A 24,563-nucleotide genomic window follows, 5' to 3' on the forward strand; every position below is an offset into this window, starting at 1 on the left:
AGCAGGAATCTTGGAGTTTCAAGAAGGAAGAAAAAACAAGAGAGCAAAAATGTTCTATCTATAAAATTTTCTTCTACTCTTGAGTTTTCTAAATTATGCTAGCCAGCTGAAGCAAAGTTTCTAATACTGTGTAATGTTCTAAGTGTTTGGAGAATAAATATTTAAAATAATTATATTATACATTGGGAAAAGAGGGGGTATTAAGGAAGGTAAAACTTCTACAACTTATATGAACTGGTATAAGTGGTTGACACAAATGGACTGTCATAAGTTGTGTGTGTGTGTTTAAGTGTCTGTGTGTGTTTACTAATACCTAGAGCAGTAACTAGGAGAACTATAAAAGACAAACACTCAAAAACAACTTATTTGAACTGGTATAAGTGGTTGACACGAATAGACCATCATAAATTGTGTGTGTGTGTTTAAGTGTCTGTCTGTGTTTACTAATACCTAGAGCAACAACTAAGAGAACTATCAAAGACAAACACTCAAAAACACTAAGATAAACCAAAATAAAACTCTAACAAATGTTTAAGCAACACACAAAAAAAGTTAAAAAAAATAGAGAATGAAAAAAAACATAGAGAACAAAGAAAAAAACACAACAAATACAGTGGAAGATTTAAGGACTAGCATTAATAATTACATTAAATATAAATAGTTTGTATTAGTCTGTATTCACGCTGCTGATAAAGACATTCCCAAGACTTGGCAATTTACAAAAGAAAGAGGTTTAATGGACTTACAGTTCCACATGGCCGGAAAGGCCGTACAATCATGGTGGAAGGCAAGGAGAAGCAAGTCACGTCTTACATGGATGGCGGTAGGCAAAGAGAGAGAGAGCTTGTGTAGGAGAACTCCTCTTTTTAAAACCATCAGATCTCATGAGACTTATTTACTATCATGAGAACAGCAAGGGAAAGACCTGCCCTCATGATTCAATTACTTCCCACTGGGTCCCTCCCACAACATATGGGAATTTAAGATGAGATTTGGGTGGGGACACAGCCAAACCATATAATGGTGTAAGTTCACCAATAAAGATGGAAATTGGCAGAGCGTGTAAAAGAACAAAATTCAATTGTATGCCATCTAGAAGAAATTCACTGCAAATATACTCACATAGGTAGATGGAAGGTAAAAGAATGAAATGGATATGCTACACAAACATTAATCAAAAGAAAGCAAACTCAGGCAACGAGAGAGACTTTACATAATAAAAGAATCAATCCATCAGGAAGAAATGTCAATCCTAAATGTGTGTGTATCAAAAAACAGAGCTATAAAATATTCAAAGCCAAAACGGACAGAACTAAAAAGAAAAATTGGCCAAATCAACAACTGCAGTTTGAGATTTTAAGATCTCTACCTCAACAATTTATAGAAAAACTAGACAGAAAATTAGCAAGGCTATAGAAATTCACAATACCACCTACCAATAAGATCAAATTGACTTTTATTATAGATCATTCCACCCAGTAACAAAAGAATGAACATTCTTGTATAGTGTTCGTTGAACATATAGCAAGCTGACAATATCTTGGGCCATAAAACAAACCTCAATACATTTAAAAAATTGAAATAGTATACAATATATTCTCTCAGCACAATTTAATCAAATTAGAAGTGAATAAAGGAAAAACAGTGAGAAGTTCTCTAAATAACTGAATGCTAAATATGATATTTCTGAATAGTACATGAGTCAATGAGAAAGTTTCAAGGGGAATTTTAAAAATACATTGAACTCAAAGAACTGAAAATACAAGATATGGTGAGACAGAAATTTCAACAGTAGATGTCAACATCAGGAGAGAGAAAGAGACTCGAATTAATAATCTAAGCTTCTACCTCAAGAAATTATAATAGCAACAGGATAAACTTGAAGCAAGGTGAAGAAAGAAAATATAATAAAGCTAAGAGCAGAAATCAACAAAATTGAAAACTGAAAAACAATAAAGAAAACTAGTGACACAAAATGCTGGTTCTCTGAAAGATCAAAAATATATTGATAAATTTTGAACAAAATTGACAGATAAAAAAAGAGATTAGTAATTAGTAATTACTAATATCAAGAATAAAACAGAGAATCTGACTAAAAACCGTGCAGACATTAAAAGTATAATGAGTAAATAATACAAATGTCTAAAAACATAAATTTGACAATTTAGTAATTTGACAATTACTTTTCTTTGAAAAGCAAAAACTATCACCACTTATTCAATATGAAATGTATAATTTAAATTGTCCTATAATTAGTATTGAAATTTAATTCATAATTAAAGCCTCCTGAAAAAAATAAACTCAAGGCTTTGATGAATTCACTGAACAATTCTACTAAACATTTAGAAACAAAATAATACAAATTCTACCAACTAATTTCCAGAAAATAGAAGTGAAGGCAACATTTAACCATCTTATTCTATGCAGCCTGTATTACCCTGGCACCAACAAAGATAAATAAAAACTATAAACTAATACATCTCATGAATATAAATGCAAAATTCTTAACAAAAATCAACCAGCTCTTTATATTAATTGTTTCTGCATCCATGGATTCAACCAACAATGGATCAAGAATATTGAAAAAATAATTCCTTCTATACTAAACATGTACAGAATTTGTCTGGTCATTATTTCCCATACAATACAGTATAACACTAATATATAGAGCATTTACATTATATTAGGTATTATAAGTAATCTAGAGATGCTTTAAAGTATACAGGAGGATATGCATAGATTAAACGCAAGTTCTATACCATTTTATATCGGAGACTCGAGTATCCACAGATTTCAGTATCCAAGGTATCACTATACTAGCAAATAGAATTCAGTGATATATAAAAGGGATTCTGTATCATGACCAAGTGAAATTTATTTCAGAAATTCCAGGAATGTGCAATATTCAAAAATCAGTAAATGTAGTCAACCATTGTTTTTTGTTGTTGTTGTTTTGTTTGTTTGTTTGTTTGTTTGTTTGAGATGGAGTCTTGCTCTGTTGCCCAGGCTGGAGTGTAATGGCACAAACTCGGCTCACTGCAAACTCTGCCTCCCGGGTTCAAGCAATTCTCCTGCCTTGGCTTCCTGAGCAGCTGGGACTACAGGTGGGAGCTGCCACGCCCTGCTAATTTTTTTTTTTTTTTTTTTTTTTTTGTATTTTAGTAGAAGCGGGGTTTCACCGTGTTAACCAGGTTGGTCGCGAACTCCTGAGCTCAGGCAATATGCCAGCCTTGGCCTCCCAAAGTGCTGGAATTACAAGCATGAGCCACCGTGTCCGGCTGTCAACGCCCGGCTGTCAACCATTTTAATAGGCTAAAAACAAACAAACAAACAAAAAAAAACCACACACATAATTATGAAAAAACATGATGACAATCAATTGCATGCCAAACAAGCAAAATTTGACTAAACTGAACAATTATTCATTTTTAAAACAAATAAATGCAACCCTATCAGAAAACTAGAAATAAAGGAAATTTCTTCAACTTGATTTTAAAAAAATCTTTAAAAAATCTACATCTAATCCTGTAGAACTGAATAACAAAAAATGGAACAGTTTCCCCTTAAGACTGGGAACAAGGTGGTTGGGCACAGGGGCTCACGCCTGTAATCCCAGCACTTTGGGAAGCTGAGGTGGGCGGATCACCAGGTCAAGAGATCAAGACCATCCTGGCTAACACAGTGAAACCCCATCTGTACTAAAAATGCAAAAAAGTAGTCAGGCTTGGTGGCGGGCCCCTGTAGTCCCAGCTACTCAGGAGGCTGAGACAGGAGAATGGCATGAACCTAGGAGGTGGAGCTTGCAGTGAGCCGAGATCACGCCACTGCACTCCAGCCTGGGCAACAGAGCGAGATTCCATCTCAAAAAAAAAAAAAAAAAAAGCAAATAAGATTGGGAAGAAGTCATTGTCATCCACCCTCATCACTTTTATTCAACCTAGTACTGGAAGTTCTATCCAATAAGGCAAGAAAAATTAACAAAACCCCTATGGATCAGAAAAAAAAAAGAAATAAAACTGTTGTTATTTGTAGATAACATAATTGTGTACGAAAACTTCTGATATGGTTTGGATTTGTGTCCCCACTCAATTCTCATGTCAAATTGTAATCCCCAGTGTTGGAGGAGCGGCCTGGTGGGAAGTAGATTGGGTTATGGGGGCAGATTTCCCTCTTGCTGTTCTCATTATATTGAGTGAGTTCTCACTAGATATGGTTGTCCCCCTTTCACTATCTTCCTTCTTCTTCCACCATGTAAGATGTGCCTGCTTCCCCTTCCACCATGACTAAATATTTCCTGAGGCCTCCCCAGTCATGCTTCCTGTAAAGCCTGAAGAACCGTGAGCCAGCTAAACCTCTTTTCTTTGTAAGTTACCCAGTTTCAGATGTTTCTTTATAGTAGTACCAGAACAGACTAATACAAATCCCCAGTAAATGTACTTACCAAAAAATATCCTAGGACTAATAGATGAGAAATCTCTAAAGCCTAGGGCCTAGTGAGGAGTTTTTAAACTTGACAGTGAACACAGGGTCCATAAAAGTTGATAATTTGGAATTTATCAAAATTTTAAATATTTGATATGAAATTCCCACTTGAGAGAATGAAAAGGCAAACTACAAAAGAAAATAAATTACTTACAAACCACCTATTTGACAAAGAACTCATATATAAAATATATAAATAACTCTCAAAACTCAACTGTTAAAAATATCAATTAGAAATGAGCAAAAGACATGAGGAGACACTTCACCGATTAGGATATACTGTTGGCAAATAAGCACATGAAAAAATGTTCACCATCATTAGTAGTTAGGGAAATCCAAGTTAAGCCATGATGAGATACCACCATATACCTATTAGAATAGCTAAAATTACAACAACAACAAAAATAGTGATAGAATCAAATGCTGGTGAGGATTCAGAGGAACTGAAGCTCTCAAACTTTGCTGGTAGGAATGTAAAATAGTACAGCCACTGTCTAAAACAGGTTGGCAATTTTTTATGAAAATTAACATGGAACTGCCATGGGACTCAACAATTGTATTTACCCAGGAGATACGAAAACTATGTACACATAAAAGTCTCTACATGAATGTTCATAGCAGCTTTATTCGTAATAGCTAAGACCTTGAAACAAGTAAAATCTTCCTCAGTGGGTGAATGGGTAAACGAAATGCAGACCATCCACACCATTGGATATTACGCAGTAATTAAAAAGCTATTAATACCTAACACAACTTGGATGGATATCAAGGGCATCACGCTAAATGAAAACAGGAAATTTAAACAGTCAAAAACTGCTTGCTTCAATTTACATATCATTCTTGAAATAATAAAATTGTAGAGATAGAAGACAGATTTGTATTTGCCAGGGTTTAGGGACCATACAGGGGGAGAGAATGTGTATGAATATAAAGGGATAGCAGAGGAAGATCTTTGTGGTGAAGGAATTTATTGTCTGTTGATTTCAGAGGTGTTTACACCAATCTGCACATGTGATAAAATGACATAGAACTATGTCCATACATTGTATCAATGTCTAATTTCTGGTTTTGATATTGCACTGAAATTTTGTAAATTTTAATCATCTGAATAAACTGGGAGAAAGATGCACAAATCCTCTCTGTACTACCTTTGCAACCTCCTGTAAATCTAAAATTACTTTCAAATATAGTTAAAAAATAAAAAATATAAAGAATAAAATAAAACTTCTTATGAATACATTAAATTGAATGAAACTCCATGACAGCAATCATATATTGGTACTTTCCTGGCATCTGGGTCTATAATGTTGCCCAGCATGTATTTTTTGTTACTTCTGTGTTATCTGTCTTCCTCTGATAGATTTTAAGTCTCAGGAGGGCAATGATGTTTGCCTGCTTTGTTCACTGTTGAATCCCAAGAGCTTAAGTCAGCACTTGCTTACACAATGTCTTCAGTAAAAATCGGCTGAATGAGACAAGTAAGACAGTGGATCTATCTCTTTAGCATGTATAGGATATAATTTATGGTAATAGATGAGATGAAATGATACTCATAGTCTCAGATCCTGATCACAAAAATTTTAGTAATCATCTGAAAAACCGTTTTTATCTCCTTCTCCATTCAGTCTTGTGTTTCAATAACTCAAGTAAACGTAGATATGCTAAACATGACTTTTGTAAGTTTTAAGTAAACAAATCATGTCTTGCTGTTAGCCTTGAAGTATAAAGCAGAAAAGCAGAAAAAATAATTTATAAAATGCAAATCTTTATTGTTTCTTAATGATTTTTAACATTATTTGTTCAAAACATTTGCCAAGGAGTACACTTTTCCAAAAGACAGCTTAGGCTGGATTAATTACAGGACAGGATGTAGGGCAGCAGGACCAGAGTCAGTTTAGCACCATTGCTCAGATAATTTGGGTTTAACAAGAGGGCTGGGAAGAAATAACTAGGTGATAAGTCCACAGTGGAATAATTATTTTAGGCCATTAGTGTCTTTTGTGGTTCTTTCTTTGGGCTACCATGGGCCTCAGGGCCAATATGCCTAATCTAAATTTCAGAATCTAGATTCTTTTAACCATGTGATTTCCGAGCCTGAAGAAAAATAGCTCTCTGTGATCTCAGGAGCTATTAGAGTCTTGAGCACAATCACTAGTTTTTCATGTGATTTCTGATTTTCTATGGTGATTTTAATCATCAATCCAAGTTATCAGCTGTGTAAAAACATTTAAAACTTTGGGCCAGATATAGCATAGGATGGGATACCAAGGAATATACAAAGTAGGATTATAAATAGATCCTTCTTATGTAACTATTTTTTGGATTTTTAAGAAGGTTTGTAATCTCAAGTTCCATCTGAATTCTCTGAAATAAGTAATTTAGAGAGTGGCACAATGGCCAGATTTTCTTCTCTTCCTCTTCTCCCTCTCCTTCCTCCTCCTCTTCATTATTATTATTATTATTTATTACATTTTGGGCCACAAGTCACATATTGTTATAACAAAGGTTTCATCTTTGTTTCATCTTTAAGTTTCCCATTTTGATAGTTAATAGTCTAAAATCTTAAAGTAACAGAAGGGGAAAATAACTACTGTGAAAATAAGGAGAATGAGACAAAGAACTGTTTGGCAGTCAGTGACTCCTGGCATATGGGGATCTTTGTCCAGGGATCTTTTGGGTAGAAGCTGTTTATATATGGAGGTTTGCTGCTATATCCAAGGTTCTTGAGAAACCTGTCCTCTTCATGATGCCATTTGCTCTGGAGTATCTTGAGAGATTCTCAATTATTTATCTCTGAGTTGTAAAGACTGTAGGTTAGGTGAATGTGATGATTTATTTTGAGTTTGGAAATATGAGTCTAGATATCTAATCCTTGTGATTTAATGACCACATTTGTAGTTAATAGTACCTAAGGGCCATTTCAACAAAATTTAAAATCAGTCTTATCTTGGTACCATTTTGGTAGAACTAGTTCTCCAGAATGAAGGTAATGCAGGGGTTCCAGGAATTTGTCCTTGAGAAAAGCCACTTGGACTTGCTATAAACATAAGTATACTGCCTTAAATCATTAAAGTATTTGACCATTTCAGCTATAAACTAAATTGTGCCCTCCACCAAATTCTTATGTTGAAGCTCCAACCCCAATTTGGCTGTATTTGGAGATAAAGCCTATAAGAAGGTAATTAAGAATGCCGTGTTTCTTAATGATAGACAATGGCTTACAAAGCACTTTCAGTACGGTCCCTATAAAATGGGTACCTTAGTCAGTGAGTAAGTATTTCAGTATACACCATGTTGGAAATACAAAGTCTAGAAGACAAAAATAAGCCATCCAGAAAATACACAATGTGTAAGTAACACATTTTCATATGAAGAAATCTCTCTTTCAATATCCAGATAGACCTTTGCTCTTGATTTTACTGCTTTGCTGAGTTATTAGCTTGGCAGATGTGACATATGCCAGAAACAACCTCAGGAATTTTGAATAAAATAGCCCTACGAATGTTGGCTTAAGATTGCAGATAATTTATCTATGCCATGGGGATAGAATGAAATTGTCCTTGGTAATAAATTATTAACCACCATTATCAAAATCAAAGAGATTGGAGACCGCTTCTGAGGGATAACACACAATTAGTTTATAAACAGGTAGTAGAGGATTGCTCTAGGAGTAAGGACATATTATTCATGGTGAGGATATTGACAGTTGTCTAGGACCTTTTGATTTATGGCATAAGACATACAAGGGTTGACAATTGTCTCTGAATGACTAGTATATACAATTTAGAGACATAAATCCATTCATACACAAATATTTTGCCAATCTTTGTGCCTAAACATTAATATGCTTTTGAACTAAAAATGATGCAATCATTAAAACTTATTTATATTAATATATCTTGCTTATTCATAGTGAACTATAAGAACTGAAATGCCAAACAAACCTGATTACTTTTATCATCTTTCTTTCATACAAGGAAGGAAGCAATCATTTTGGTATCTGGTAGACATTTCCAGAAATCTGCAGATATTTATTATTCTAAAGTTGGTGACTGAATTTGAGACACACACAAAAAAAGAAACACTTGACAAAACACAGAGATAAGCCATATTTATTCAAAGTAAGAAATAAGGGCCATCAATAAGAAACAATGATTTTACCCATTTAAATTATATTCTTCAAAATCAGAACACTTAAAAATGGTACCATTCATTGCTTCTCAGCCTTTCAGCTAAGATCAAGTGAAAAATAATTCAGTTCAAGAATATTATAGAAGTACTGAGAATTAACAAAATACTTTGGTAATGAAAATGAAGCATCTCTATCTGAGCAGATAATGACTTGATAATTTCATAGAAAAATATTCTAATTTTCCTTTTATGTATTTATCTAATAATATTTTTTCAGGGAAGGGTCTACAAACCTTTTCTCTTTTTAATAAAGCTATTACACTGAGTCAAAGTTGTTATAATATTTAACATCTTTTATTGTTTTTAGTCATTTTTATTATGTATATTCATATTCACAATCACAGTCTCTGTATAAATTTATATATATGAGTTTAGACATATACAAATACATAGTTATTTAGATACATGATAAAATTAAACAATGACTTTAACTTTAAAATATAATTGACATTATCAACATATTATCTAAAATAATGTATATTTTTTATTCATTATTTAATATTATTAAAATATGGGTTCCTTAAGAAAATGAAAAATTAAGCACTCTATCTTGTGGATATTTTTGTGCCTATAGTTTCTTTTTTCTTTCTTTCTTTTTTGTTTTTTTGGAGATGTAGTCTTGCTCTATCGTCCAGGCTGGAGTGCAGTGGCACAATCTCAGCTCACTGCAACCTCCACCTCCTGGGTTCAAGTGATTCTCCTGCCTCAGCCTCCCCAGGAGCTGGGATTACAGATGCATGCCACCACACACAGCTAATTTTTGTGTTTTTAGTAGAGACGAGGTTTCACAATGTTGGCCAGGCTGATCTTGAACTCCTGACCTCGTGATCTGCCTGCCTCAGCCTCCCAAAGTGCTGGGATTACAGGCATGAGCCACCATGCCCGGCCTGTGCCTGTAATTTTGATACTTAGTACTTTCAAGCATTTTTAGAATCTCTCATCTTTAATCAAAATAACCAATAATTTGTTCCTTCAGAGTAAGGCAAATCTAGAAAGTAGGAAATTTATGTCTTACCTTTTTTCTTCAAGAGCAATTATTTTGTATTAACTTTTCAAATATATAAATACAGTTATAACATCACCCAAAGGCATTTGAAGATCCTGATAACCTTTTCCTCTTCTGTAATGAATAAGGATAAAACTAAAACTAAGTTTAGTAATTAATATTTTAAATATTTTCTTACTTTAAATTTATTCAATTAAACAACCACTATTTATTAATACAATTTAATATTAGTGGAAGTTGTTAAATTTAATTAAGGAAATAAAACTTATGATTTACGACTATACATGAAGCCATTATATTTGACATGATAAGAAATGAGATTAAACATTTTTTAAAAGACATCCACTATTACAATTTTATTTAAACACAGTTTTATATTTTTGACATTTTAAGCAAAACTCAGAAAAAAGATAACTTATTTGACTCATGAAACTATTATAGTAATTTATAAATTTCAAATTTTGTGAAGTTTGATATTAGTCCCAGATAAACTAGAATATTATATGGAGATTAATTTTATACAATAACATCTAAAAAAAGATTAGATGTTTTTACTTTAAGAAACTATTAATTTATTTTGACAACTTGTCTATTTTTCAGGTATGTAAAAGATAATTCTCATCACAAAATGTATGTATTTATTTGTTAGTAAACCAAATGTTAAGATTTTGAAAGTGTTTAAATCATCTTATTCTTCTCTTTAAGTCAGAGGTGCAGATTTAACGTTATTAAGCAACATTTTGAAGCAAAAGAAATGCAGTTTAATTTTTTTCTTTTTTTTATAGTTTACTATTTACCTGGACTATATATTCCTCGATTGCACAGTGACATGAGTTTTTAACATTTTTAATTTTTTTAATTTTTATGGATACATACCTAATAGGTGTATATATTTATGGGTTATATGAGATATTTTGATGCAGGCATATAGTATGTCATAATCACATTAGGGTAAATGAGGGTAAATCCATCACCTCAACCACTTATCATTTCTTTGTGTTACAAATATTCCAATTATACTTTTTTAGTTACTTTAAAAGGTACAATAAATTATTGTAGACTGTAATCACACTGTTGTTCCATCAAATACTAGACCTTACTCATTCCAACTAACTATATTTTTGTACTCATTAATCCCCGCTAACCCCACGCCCCACCCCGGCCTCTGGTAACCATAATTATTCTCTCTCTCCCCATGAGTTCAATTGTTTTAATTCTTACCTTTCACAAATGAGTGATAGCATGTGAAGTTTGTCTTTCTCTGCCTGGCTTGCTTTGCTTACATAATGTCCTCCAGTTTTACCTATGTTTTTGCAAATGACAGGCTCCCATTCTTTTAATGGCTACATAGTACTCCATTGTTTATACATACCACATTTTCTCTATCCATTCATCTCTTGGCGGTCACTTAGGTTGCTTCCAAATCTTGGCTATTGCGATAATGCTGCAATATACATGGGAGTGTAGATACCTTTTCCACATACTGACTTCCTTTCTTACAGGTATATATCTGGCAGTGGGATTGCTGGTTGATGTGGTAGTTCTATTTTTAGCTTATTGAGGACTATCCATACTGTTCTACATAGTGGTTGTACTAATTTACATTCCCACCAACAGCATATGAGGGTTCTCCTTTCTACACATCCTCTCCAGCATTCCTTATTGCATGTCTTTCAGATAAAAGCTATTTTAACTGGAATGAGATAATATATCATTGTAGTTTTGATTTACATTTATCTGACGATCAATGATATTGAGTACCTTTTCACATGTCTGTTTGCCATTTGTATGTTTTATTTTAGAAATGTCTAGTCAGATATTCTGCCATTTTAAAATCAGATTATTAGCTATTTTGCTATTGACTTGTTTGAGCTCCTTATATACTGTTATTAATCCTTTGTCAAATGGATAGTTTGCAAAAATTTTTCTCTGCTTCTGTAGGATGTCTCTAAACTTTGTTGACGGTTTCCTTTGCTATGCAGAAGCTTTTTTAACTTGATGTAATCCCATGTTTTCACTTTTGCTTTGGTTGCCTATGCTTATGAGGTATTGCTCAAGAAATCTTTGTCCAGAGGCATGTCTTGGAGAGATTCCCCAATATTTTCTTTTAGTAGTTTCATACTTTGAGGTTTTAGATTTAAGACTTTAGTCTACTTTAATTTAATTTCTGTATATGGTGAGAGATAGGGGTCTAGTTTCATTCTTCTGCATATGGATATCTAGTCTTCTCAACACCATTTGTTGAAGACACTGGCCTTTCCCCAAAGTATGTTCTTGGCATCTTTGTCAAAAATGAATTCACTGTAGTATCAATTTATTTCTGGGTTCTCTATCCTCTTCCATTAGCTGATGGGTCTAATTTTATGCCAAATATCATGCTGTTTTGTTTACTATAGCTATGCAGTATAATTTGAAGTCAGATAATGTAACTCCTTCAGTTTTGTTCTCTTTTGCTGAGGATAACTTTGACTATTCTGGGTCTTTTGTGGTTTCATATACATTTTAGAATTTTTTTGTATATTCCTGAGAAGAATGTTATTGGTGTTTTGATGGGGATTACAGTGAATCTATAGATTACTTGGGGTCATGTGCATATTTTAACAATATTGATTTTTCCAATCTATGAACATGAAATATCATTTCACTTTTTTGTGTTCTCCTCGATTTCTTGCATTAGTGTTTTATAGTTTTCATTGTAGGGTTTTCACACTTCTTTGATTAAGTTTATTTCTAGGTATTTAATTTTATTTGTGGATATTGTAAATGGGGTTACTTTCTTGATTTATTTTACAGATTTTTCACTGTTGGCATATAGAAATGCTATTGATTTTTTGTATATTGATTTTGCATCCTGCAACTTACTAAATTTGTTTTTCAATTTTAGTAGTTTTTTGGTGGAGTTTTTAGTTTTTTCCAAATATAAGATCATATTACCTGCAAACAAGGATAATTTGACTTATTCCTCAACTTGGATATCCTTTATTTCTTTCTCTTGTCTGATTGCTTTAGCTAAGATATCTAGCACTATATTGACTTAACAGTGGAAAAAGTGGACACTCTTGTTTTGTTCCAGATCTTAGAGAAAAGGCTTTCAGTTTTTCTCCATTCACTATAATGCTAGCTGTTTTTCTGTCATATATGGCTTTAATTGTGTTAAGGCATGTTCCTTCTATCCCAAGTTTTTTGAATTTTTCTCATAAAGGGATGTTGAATTTTAACATATGTTTTTTCAGCATCAATTTAAATGATCCCATTTTTTCTGTCTTTCATTCTGTTTATATCACATTGATTGATTTTTGTATTTTGAACCTTCTTTGCATCCCTGGGATAAATCCCACTTGGTCATGATGAATGATCTTTTTAATGTGTTGTTGAATTCAGTTTGCTGAATTGAGGATTTTTATTTCAATGTCCTTCAGAGATATTAGCCAATGGTTTTCTTTTTTTGATGTGTCTTTGTCTGATTTTGGTATCAAGATAACACTGGCCTCATAGAATGAAGTTAAAAGTATTCCCTCTTTCTCTATTTTACTGAATAGTTTGCATAGTAATGGTATTAATTCTTCTTAAATGTTTGGCAGAACTCAGCAGTTGAAGCCATTGGGTTCCAGACTTTTCTTTGCTGGAAAACTTTTTATTGTGACTTCAATCTCGTTAGTTGTTTTGGGTCAGTTCAGGTTTTGGATTCTTCATGGTTCAATCTTGGTAGGTTTTATGTGTCTAGGAATTTATCCATTTTTTATGGGTTTTCCAATGTATTGCCATATAGTTGCTCATAGTAGTCCCTAATGAACCTTTGAATTTTTGTGCTATCAGTTGTAATATATCCTTTTTCATCTCTGAATTTATTTCTTCAGGTTTTCTCTCATTTTTTCTTAGTCTGCCTAAAAGTTTGCCAATATTATCTTTTCAAAAGCCAGCTTTTTGTTTTGTTGATCTTTTGTATTTTTTTCTTCACTCCTGAATTGAAGAATTCATTTCTTCAATTGTGAATTCAGCCAGGCTTGTTCTTCCTTTCAGGACAGTGAGGTCCCCTTTCTCCTGCTCCAAATAGGGTCCAGAAATGACTGTGAGCCAGAGCCTGGAGTCAGGAACCTTAGAAATCTATTTAGTGTTCTATTCCACTGCAGCTGAGTTGACACTCAAGCCTCAAGGCAAAGTCCCTCCCACTTTTCTGTCTCCTTTCCTCAAGAAGGAGTCTCTCCCCAAGGTCAGGTGGCCCAGGCCTGTGGTGAGCACTGCCTGGCTGTAACTGATGTTTATTCAAGGCCTAAGGGCTCTTCAGTCAGTTTGTGCTAAATGCTACCAGGCCTGGGTCTCTCCCTTCAGGGCAGTGGGTTCTCCTCTGACCCACAGAATCCAGAAATGTCACCATCCCAGACCAAGGCCTAGAATTAGAAACCTCAGGAGGCCCCTTGGTGCTCTATCTTACTGCGGCAGAGCTGGTACCCAAGCTATAAGGCAAAGTCCCCTTTATCCTTCCCTCTCATTTTCTCAAGCAAGAGTCTCTCCACATGTCCATTATAGCTGGGAACGTGCTGGGTCACCCCTGAAGCCAGCATTGCACTGGATCTCAGACAAGGCCCACAAAAACTACTGTCTGGTTTATCCAAGGCCCAATGGCTCTTCTGTCAGCAGGTGATAAATCCTGTCAGAACTAGGTACTTCCTTTCAAAGCAGTAGGTTCCCTTATGACCCAGGATGTGTCATCCAGGGTTTAGGCCTTGGGATGGGCCCCCACGACTCTGTCTAGTGCCCTGTCCTCCTGTGGCTGAGCTGGTATTCAAGGTGTAAGACAAAGTCCTCTTTACTCTCCCCTCTCCTCTTCTTAAGCAGAAGGAATCAGTCTCTCCCAGGCTGAGAGCTGTGCTGCCTGGAATGGAGGAGGGTTGCTACAAGCACTCCTTTGGCTGCCCCAAGCTGGTGTCTCACTAGGTCATGTGAACCCCAACTCCACTGGCTCTGAGCCCAGCACAGCACCAGGACTTGCCCAAGATTTGCAGTCCTTGTGGCCTAGACCGCCTTCTAAATTTATTTAGGATCCTAGAGTGCTTTGGCCTGCAGTGGCATGGCTAGCTGGAACTCAGGTTCTGACCGCCAGACTGGACAATTTACCTCTGGCTAGGGCTGGTCTAAATGCTTGCTCTGTGGGCACTGGCTGAATTCTGCCCCATGTTGCTTTCCATTATGACCGGCAGCATTGAGTTCCAAAGCAAAGTCCCACAATCACTGAGCTTTCCTTCCCCTAAGTAAAATGATTCTCTCTTTGTGCCATGAGGTTGCTGCTGCCTGGGGATGCAGCAGAGGTGATGTCAGCAATTCAAGACAGTCTTTCCTACTCTCTTCAGTGCCTCTAAACCAGGCAATGTGATTGCCCACCTTATTTTTGGTTCTTATGGAGATATTTCTTTGTGTGGATAGCTGTTTAATTGGTGTTCCTGTTGGGGATATGATTGCTGGAGGCTTCTATTCTGCCTGCTCACAAAAATATTTTTGTTAGACTATGGTGCAAAACTTTTTAAGAGAATGGAAAAAGAAGTAGGGAAGGAAATAAAAACAAGTGGGCAAAGAAGTAAGAGGAGCCAGCTTCGGATAATTCTTGTAAAATGTTACTTATCCCTTCTTAGTAGGATGGTTGTTAGATGCAGGAAATCTATTTTCACATATATGCACACAGGCACACACACATACAATACACACACCCAAAGATTTGTTACATTTTATTTAATAAAATAGCCTCCTTCTTAAGTGATCTCTTTATTTTAAAGACAGAAAAGACAATCTCCTCATGACGATTTCTGTCCTTTTTGTTCAAACGCTTCTCTCAAATGAGCACACTTGCTTACTAAAAAGTATGAAGTGGGCTTTGTAATTCTAAATTTCTTTAGTGACTGTCCTCCAAATATTCAAATACCTGTGCAATTAGCATCATAATACATATTCACATATGGGTCTGGAAATGTTAACACCACACTCTTACCTGTCTGTTCAAAAGGTCTCAGGAAGTGAAGAACAAAAGAAAGTGATGGGCTGCTAACCAATAATGATAATTATCAATGCTCAAGCTGCAATCTGAGGTAACAAGGCAGAGTGCAGCTTCCCCCTTTCAAGCAGATCAGGCCGTGGCGACAGGGAGCCTGGTACTGGTTGTGGCATGACACCAAAACTGAGAAAGGAGACAAATCAGCACGTTCAAATTTTTATTAGCTCAGCATTTTTATTAAAATATAAAACATTTGAGAATAATTTTTTTTGAAAGGCATACATTCTCATCTTGATTTGTTTGCAGTAAACCTACTTCAAAGGGATTGTTACGCCTGATTGTGATAAATAAATATGAACTCTAATATTAGATTTGAGCACATAATATCTTGTTCTCCATATAGGACAGTAAGGTTGATTTTACAATTTCTTTTTCAATGAGAAAAGACTTTTCACTAAAGATATTAGTCTTCTGCCAATGTTTGTGTGATGTAACCATAAACTCTTAGCGATAAATTATTGGAATAGAGATCTACACATGCTCCCAGCTAGGCAAACAGCTGCTCTCTCAAAAAACTTTGGGATTGGTATTTAGATTTTATGATAATGCTATAAATATAATAATATAAATTTGCAGATGTAGAGAAAGTAAAGTTAATCTTCAGAAGAAAGAATGAATCAGAGGTGCAAAGCAGAGTCATGTAGGATCAGTAGAAATTACTCTCTAGTCCTTGTTGATTTTCCAGTTCTTACTTCTTATTCACCAAGACTACCCTTTGCTTTCAGCTTTGATTGCCCCCGCATCCTTCTATCAAATTCCTTTATTGGTTGTGTAGAAAGGGGTTCTGATCCAGACCCCACGAAAGGGTTCTTTGACTTCCTGCAAGAAAGAATTTGGGGTGAGTCCATAAAGTGAAAGCAACTTTATTAAGAAAGTAAAGAAACAAAAGAATAACTACTCCATAGGCAGAGCAGCAGCATCTGTGGCTCAACTGATTATACTTATAGTTACTTCTTGATTATATGCTAAACAAAGGGTAGATTATTTCTGGGAAAGGGGTGAGCATTTCCCAGAACTGAGTGTTTCTTCCCTTTTTAGACCATATAGGGTAACTTCCTGACATTGCTATGGCATTTGTAAATTGGCATGGTGCTGGTGGGAGGGTCTTTTAGCATGCTAACGCATTATAATTAGTGTATAATGAGTGCTGAGGATGACCAGAGGTCACTTTCATCACTATCTTGGTTTTGGTGGGATTTGGCTGGCTTCTTTGCCACATGCTGTTTTATCAAGAAGGTCTTCTTGACCTGTATCTTATGCTGACCTCCTCTCTCATCCTGTGACTAAAAATGCCTAACATCCTGGGAATGCAGCCCAGTAGATTTCAGCCTTATTTTACCCAGCCCCTATTCAAGATGGAGTTGCTCTAGTTCAAATGCTTCTGCCAGTTGAACTATCCCAAATTGGTGCCTGTTAGTTGAAACCCATACAATATCAACTAAAGTATGCTGAATTAAAATACTGAAATGTTATTATGGGTTACATAATTTACCAAATTTTTAAAAACTGTTATCTTCCAAGCTGATCCCTTAAATTCTGGTGTTTGTAGAAATTATATTTATTATACTTTCTTTCACCTTTCTTCTCTTTACATAGTAGCATCTATTTACTTCCCTAAATGTGATATTTCTTTACTGGAACAGGTTAACTTTGGGTTGTTGCCAGGGTGTGTTAGTGATCCCTTAAAATATTGCCTCAATAGCATTCGCTGGCTTCTGATATAGGCAGACAGGTCAGGCTTAGTTCATGAACAGAAAATTCATTATAATAGCAGAGTTTTCAAAGCAAAAAATCAATAAATAAGTTTTAATAAACACCATCAACTTTTTCCATTGAAGCCTTTTCAGAACATAACCCATCTTCAGAATCATTGTCATATTCTAACAACGTCTATTTTCTTCTAAGATGTTAAATGTATTTGTGTTATAAACAATATTTTTCTTGCCTGAATACATTTTTTTCCATCTCACCTGATTTTTTCCAAGCTTGGAAAATATGTCAGATCAAAGAGAAGGAGCTGTAGCTGCCTTTCTTAGGAGGGGGAAAACGCACAGGCTGTTTATTTCATCACTAAAAGGTACCTTGAGTCACAGGAGAATATTCTATGACTTCCTTTGTGACTGAAAGCTTTCTTTATGATTTTTAAATAAAAGTTTTTAAGGCAGTAGGTGGCTTCGAGAAGCAATATATGATTAAGTGTTAATTTTATAGTGATCTTTTGCATATACGAACTAGATCACTTTCCCTCAAGAAATTCCCATAAGTGTAAGCATATTTATTCAGATCATTCATCTTAATCTTCCACCAAAGAAAAATAATGTTGCATGTGAGAGTATTTTAAAGTGACTGATGAGTATATTGAAAGAACGATAAATTGTTAGTCCTAATGAAAATATATTGATGTGCTAAGTAAAAATCTGTCTGTAGTAGCCCTACTTTATTCAGAAAAGGGAGAATGAAAGGGCATAAAAAACAAGAACCCCAAATCTCCATACCCTGACCAAGGCACATGCCTCCTATGAAAAGCCCCACTAGACAGTGATTCCAATGGACAGAGCCAGAGCAAAGTGACATGGGTTTGGCAAGCATACTGCCATCCTATTCTCAGCATGCACCTGTAAATTCCAGTATATTTTGTCAATATAACTTATCCCACAAATGAAAGAAAATGTGAATTTCTTTTCTTTCAAACCATAATGATTTGGCTCCTGGTTTGCTCTCTCTATCACCTTCCTCTCACCAGCAACATATCATGAGAACTTGTCCCAGTTTCTTTCTTTAAATGCACCCATGGTGCGTCCACCTAAGGGTCTTTGCACTAACTGTGCTTCTGTCTAGACCTTTTCCCCCCATATTTTAAGGAAGTTTCTTCCTTTTCATTTGTAAATAAGCTCAAATGATTTTTTTTTTACGTGTAAGTTAGGTGAATAATTAATTTCACATTTGCCCTTGCCCCTTCAGAATGTAGGGTCCATGAGACATATCTTGTTTACTGCTATTCCCTCAGTACTAATAACAGGGTAAGTCAGTCCATATGTACTTGTTGAATGAATGCATCATGATATTAACACAAACAAATAATTAAAGCATAATATGGGTAGTAAGAAAATTCTCATGAAGTAGCTACCATGTCATGTAGTATAGCTTATTTTAAGTAGTCAGTCCTTAAACCAGCTCTTCTCAGCCAGAGATAGAAAGAAAAATGTGCACGGCTCTTGAAGGTGGTAGAAAGAGATGGGGAATATTCAACTCATGCTATCTTTATGTGTGTTTTTTCTTCAAAAGTACGTATTGGCTTAAAATACAGCTGAGTGCATTGGCTTCAAATACAGTTGAGTGTATTCACTTCAGTGACTGGTGTTTAAAATCCAGCTATTCCCATATATTGGCCACACATGTGTACTCATGTGATGCTGTAGAAAACAGTATAAATTAATGGTTTATATCATAAACTCAAAGAAAGTAATTAGCTACCTCTACTGGAGATCCAAAGGCTGTCTTTCTCTGTTGTTATAGAAAAAATCTTTTGAGGTAAAGATTATAGGTCCTCATGTCAGAGAACTAGATTTAACTTGCGGTTCTACCATTATGTAATCCTTTTTAGCCCATGTTTACCCAACTGTAACATGGCAATAATAATAGTACTTAACTCATAAGTTCTTATGGATATGAAATAAAATTAGAGTCTGATATATATAAAATAATAACACCTTACACGTATTGAAAATGTTGTGCTTTAACTGTTTTGGAGCTCTTTAACTAAGGCCATTTATTAATCTTTAAGTTAAATATTATTATTGCTGTAATTGAGATATAGGAAAACTGAGAAAAAAAGAGATTAAGTGACATGCCAGAGATACTCAATTAGTAATAATTCCATATATGTAATCAGCATTTTACATTTCACTCTTTTTTTTTTTTTTTTTGATGGAATTTTGCTCTTGTTGCCCAGGCTGGAGTGCAATGGCACAATCTTGGCTCACTGCAACCTCCACCTCCCGGGTTTGAGTGATTCTCCTGCCTCAGCCTCCCAAGTAGCTAGGATTACAGGCATGTCCCACCATGCCTGGCTAATTTTGTATTTTTAGTAGAGACAGGGTTTTACCATGTTGGTCAGGCAGGTCTCAAACTGCTGATTTCAGGTGATCCGCCCACCTGGGCCTCCCAAAGTGCTGGGATTACAGGCATGAGGCACCGCACCCAGCCTACATTTTACTGTTACTGCTAGTATTTGAATGGTCCTCAATGTAGTTCAAGCTACAATGAACTCAAGTTACACACAGATCAATTAAAATTGCTCCCACTTTATCCCATTTAGCTAGATCTCCATGTGCTTTTACATTTTGATTATTCCTCATTTATCCTCCCTCACTTTTTTGTTGCAGTTTTTCTTGATGCCTCTGATCCTCAAACTCTGACTATGAACACTGACAATATTAAAGAATAGCAGATGGATATAAGTGCTTTGGCTCTGGAATCAGACAATCTTGAGTTAGAATTCTTGCTCTATAACTCATTTGAAGTATGATTTTGATCAAATAACTTAAGTATTAAAATGGCAGCTTTCATTCCACATAATTGTAAAAATAATAATACTTATAGGGTAATTTGAAAAATAAAGGAGAAAATGTGTATCAGTGACTTCATATGTTGCTTATTGCCTAGTAGATGCTTCATTTGCATTGGCTGATTAATAATCCTGTAGTCTAGATATGGGGTCCCCAACCCCTGGGCAGATGATGGGTAACAGGTCTTTGTCCTGTTAGGAAATGGGCTTCACAGCAGGAGGTGAGCCACAGGCAATGGAGCAAACTGAGCTCAGCTTCCTGTCAGATCAGTGGCAGCATTAGAGTTTCATAGAAACAGGAACCCTATTGTGAACTGTGCATGCAAGGGATCTGGGTTGCATGCTCCTTATGAGAATCTAATTAATGTCTTGTTATCTGAGGTGGAAAAGTTTCACCCTCAAACCATCCCTTTCTCCTCGAAGGTCTGTGGAAAAATTGTCTTCCACAAAACCAGTCCCTGCTGCCATAAAGTTTGGGGAACACTGGTCTAGATCACCCTCAGCAGTGTTCTCCAAAATACAATGCTTACAGTCACCTTCTTGAACTGTGCATCTCTGCAGGGAAAGTGTGGTGATCATTGAAGTTGTTCGTCAAATATCTCTGATTAATACATTTTTAGGCATATGGTAAGATTGGACCTCTTCAATCCTTTGAAGTTAGTTGTGGCCAATGCTTTGGCCAATGAAATGTGACTGGAAATATGTGTGTCTTTTCCAGACAAATGCTGCAAAAGCTAGTGAACGATTCACCATCTTCCTGTTGCCCTTCAATCCTGATGGAATGTTCTCTGTGATGCATACTTTCTCAGCCTGAGACTTGAAACTAGGAGATCTAGAGCAGAATCCCCAGTGCATTCTGTGATGGACACATAATATAAACAAGAAATAACCCTTTGTTGTTAAAATGCCATTAAGATTTATTTTGGGATTTATCATAACAGTACAATCTAGCCTGTATGTATTAACACAGGGGATAGAAGACATTTTTAGCAACTCCTTCTAAGATTTCAGTGGGGAAAGGTAATCTCATTCTAGCATGTGAAATAATTGTTGATGCTATCCATTTTGGATCTTTTCTTTGCTTGTTTCTTAATGACTAAATGATTTATTCTCTCTGAAGAAATGAGGGCTCTGTTGAAGACAGTGCTGTGAGTTTCAGGATAGTGAGAATTAAAGCAACAAAAGGCAATCTCTGTAATAGAGAAGGAGGGATTCACTCAAGTTCAAGAGAAGATACTCTTCAGAACTTAGAAATTCTGCATCTCATTTGTCAATGTGACCATGATTATCTATATGTAGCCTTAGAGAGATGGAGTCCATATACATGTCAAGCTTGGTTTTTGGCATGTAACTCTCTGAAACTAATAGCAAATGTGAATACTGGGACTTGTCACTAATTATATTGTGGTTGATACTGATTTTTATTGTACCCAGGTTTCCTTACTGTGAGGAACATGAAAGTTCTCCTGCTTAGCCTGAATAATGGGAATTTTGTTGTGTTCTTGACGGGAAACCCTGGAGCCACCCAGAGGCAACAACAATGTCCCTCAGTTAATTACAATGGGGATTAAATCAAGTATAGCTATCCCTTGCCTTGATATTTCCCAACATGTTTATCATTTACATTCTGTAGGTTCTTAAATGCTAATGTAATGCCAATTATAGATACCAATAAAAATTATTGATAAAAAGATAATATATTGTATTAGGGATCCTTCAGAGAAAAGAATCAATAATACACACACTCATATATATAGAGAGAGAGACAGAGAGAGAGAGATTTTATATATGTCTGTATTTCTATCTATACATATGAGATTTATTTAAAGAAATTGGCTCAGATGATTGTGGAGGCTGACAAGTCTAAAATTTCTAGGTTAGAGCAGTCCAGAGATTCAGGGAAGAGTTGATGCTGTAGCTTGAGTCAAAACAGTCTGGGGGCAGAATTCTCTTGTTTTTAGAAGACTTCAGTGATTTTCTCCTAAGGTCCTCAACTGATTATATGAGGCTCATCCACCTTATGGAGGGTAATCTGTTTACTCAAGCCTACTTGTTTAAATAGGAAGTTCATGCAAAAATAATTGTCACAGAAACATCTAGACTGGTGTTTGATCTGGGTATCTTGGCTTAGTCAAGCTGACATATATAATTAACTGTCACATATATTGAATTGTAAATGTTCAGCAACAATTTTGTATGCTGTTTCTATCTTTTATTTTTTATAAACAATAAATAACATGTACCCATAGAAATTTTTTAAAAATTATAAAATTGATTTCTATAGATATGGCTTCTTTTAAATTCTTTACCCGTCATCTTTCCTATGCCTGTTTTTGAGCCTTTTGTAAATTGTTAAAAGAGAGTCATGTTTAGATTAACTCTGTTAATGAATACTTAGTGAATGGATACACTGAGGAAAAAAAAAACAAAAAACAAATAATAATGTTGGCAGAGACACATATAACCTCTGGATAGGAGTGCACTCCTATCCTATGAATTGGTCACTCAGTCTTTCTTTTGTAGAAGGATCCCTCCTCCTTATTCTAGTACTATTAATTGTATTTTTTGTTGTTGTTCTATGCATTACTTCTTTCTCTATTATATATTTCCTGTTTTTTTCTACAGTTTGAAACTATATTCCTTGCATGAAGACTAGGACCAAAATAAGAACTGCTAATAATTAGCCAAAGAGTTAATAATGAGATACTATGAATTTGTTAGACACTGCCCTCATGCTTTGTATTTTATGAGCCACTATCCAGCCTAATTTGAGGAATCACTCTTTAGTTCCTGATGCAATAAATTGTAGACTGGGTGGAGTGCATGTTATACAAATTATAGCATCCTGTGTGTTAACAGCTGCTTTTCATTGTTTGCTTAGAAGCAAGCTGTGCCATTGGCTACCACTTGCAGGATTACATCCAATACATCTAAGACCTGGATCATCACATTTTATAATAACATAAGTGATGATCTAGGTCTTAGCTATACTGGATGTAATCCTGCAAGTGGTATCCAGTGTAATTTCCAAACAAAGGACCTGGCATAGAAAATGCTTCCTCGGGCGCGGTGGCTCACGCCTGTAATCCCAGCACTTTGGGAGGCCGAGGCGGGCGGATCACGAGGTCAGGAGATCGAGACCATCCTGGCTAACACGGTGAAACCCCGTCTCTACTAAAAATACAAAAAATTAGCCGGGCGTGGTGGTGGGCGCCTGTAATCCCAGCTACTCGGGAGGCTGAGGCAGGAGAATGGCATGAACCCAAGAGGCGGAGCTTGCAGTGAGCCGGGATAGCGCCACTGCAGTCCAGCTTGGGCGAAAGAGTGAGACTCCGTCTCAAAAAAAAAAAAAAAAGAAAATGCTTCCTAAGGCAATTAGTGAATATACATATATTTACAAAGTGACCTCATTTACAAATGTTTTCGTTAGTAAAAGGAGACACTCATACTAAAAGATACTTTTAAAAGTTTCTTTTTCAAACTTGATTTTCTGTTAGCTTTCTTCATTAAACAATTAAACACCCTATCTAAATAACAGGTATGTTATATATATATATATATATATATATATATATATATGTAATATTTATATTATATATTTGTTTTGTGTATATATACATATATATGTACATGTTTGTATATATACATATATGTATGTATATATATACACACAAAACATGTTAGAAAACCATATATCTATCTAAATAGCAGGCATGTTTTATACATATATAATTATATATTATTTGTGATATGTGTATATATCACAAATCATAGTTTATTAAGAGAAAAAAACTTAAAATTTTAGAACATGGTGCTATCTACATTGTCTAAGAGGCCAAGCATAATATCTTTGTTTTATAATGTCAAAAAAGGTATTTTATACAAATATAAAAACAAATAATCTGAACAATTATTAAAAGTAAGTGATGAGTAAAGTTGACATTCTTTTATTTACCATTGCTATAATGATAGTGTAGCTGTTGTCCAATTATTAAAAATAAAATGGTATAGAATTAAGATGGGAATGAAATAACCTGAGGGTGTAGCAAACTATCAGATGAGTAAATAAATTAAATAATCAAGGATGGTGAAAGATCAAGAGTAATTAATATTTTTCACAGTACTTTCAAATGTAGTTTAGTTCAGCCAGCCCAGGTATCTGGTAGAAGGGTTGCGTTTTAATGAGGCATATGCCAGCTTATTTCACAGATCTTAAGCTTGCCTTGCCTTGCCTTACCGGAGATAACACACCTATGAAATGTTAAGTTTACTAG

This window comes from Homo sapiens, chromosome 6 (assembly GCF_000001405.40).
Source record: "Homo sapiens chromosome 6, GRCh38.p14 Primary Assembly".
In the NCBI taxonomy this organism is placed as follows: domain Eukaryota; kingdom Metazoa; phylum Chordata; class Mammalia; order Primates; family Hominidae; genus Homo; species Homo sapiens.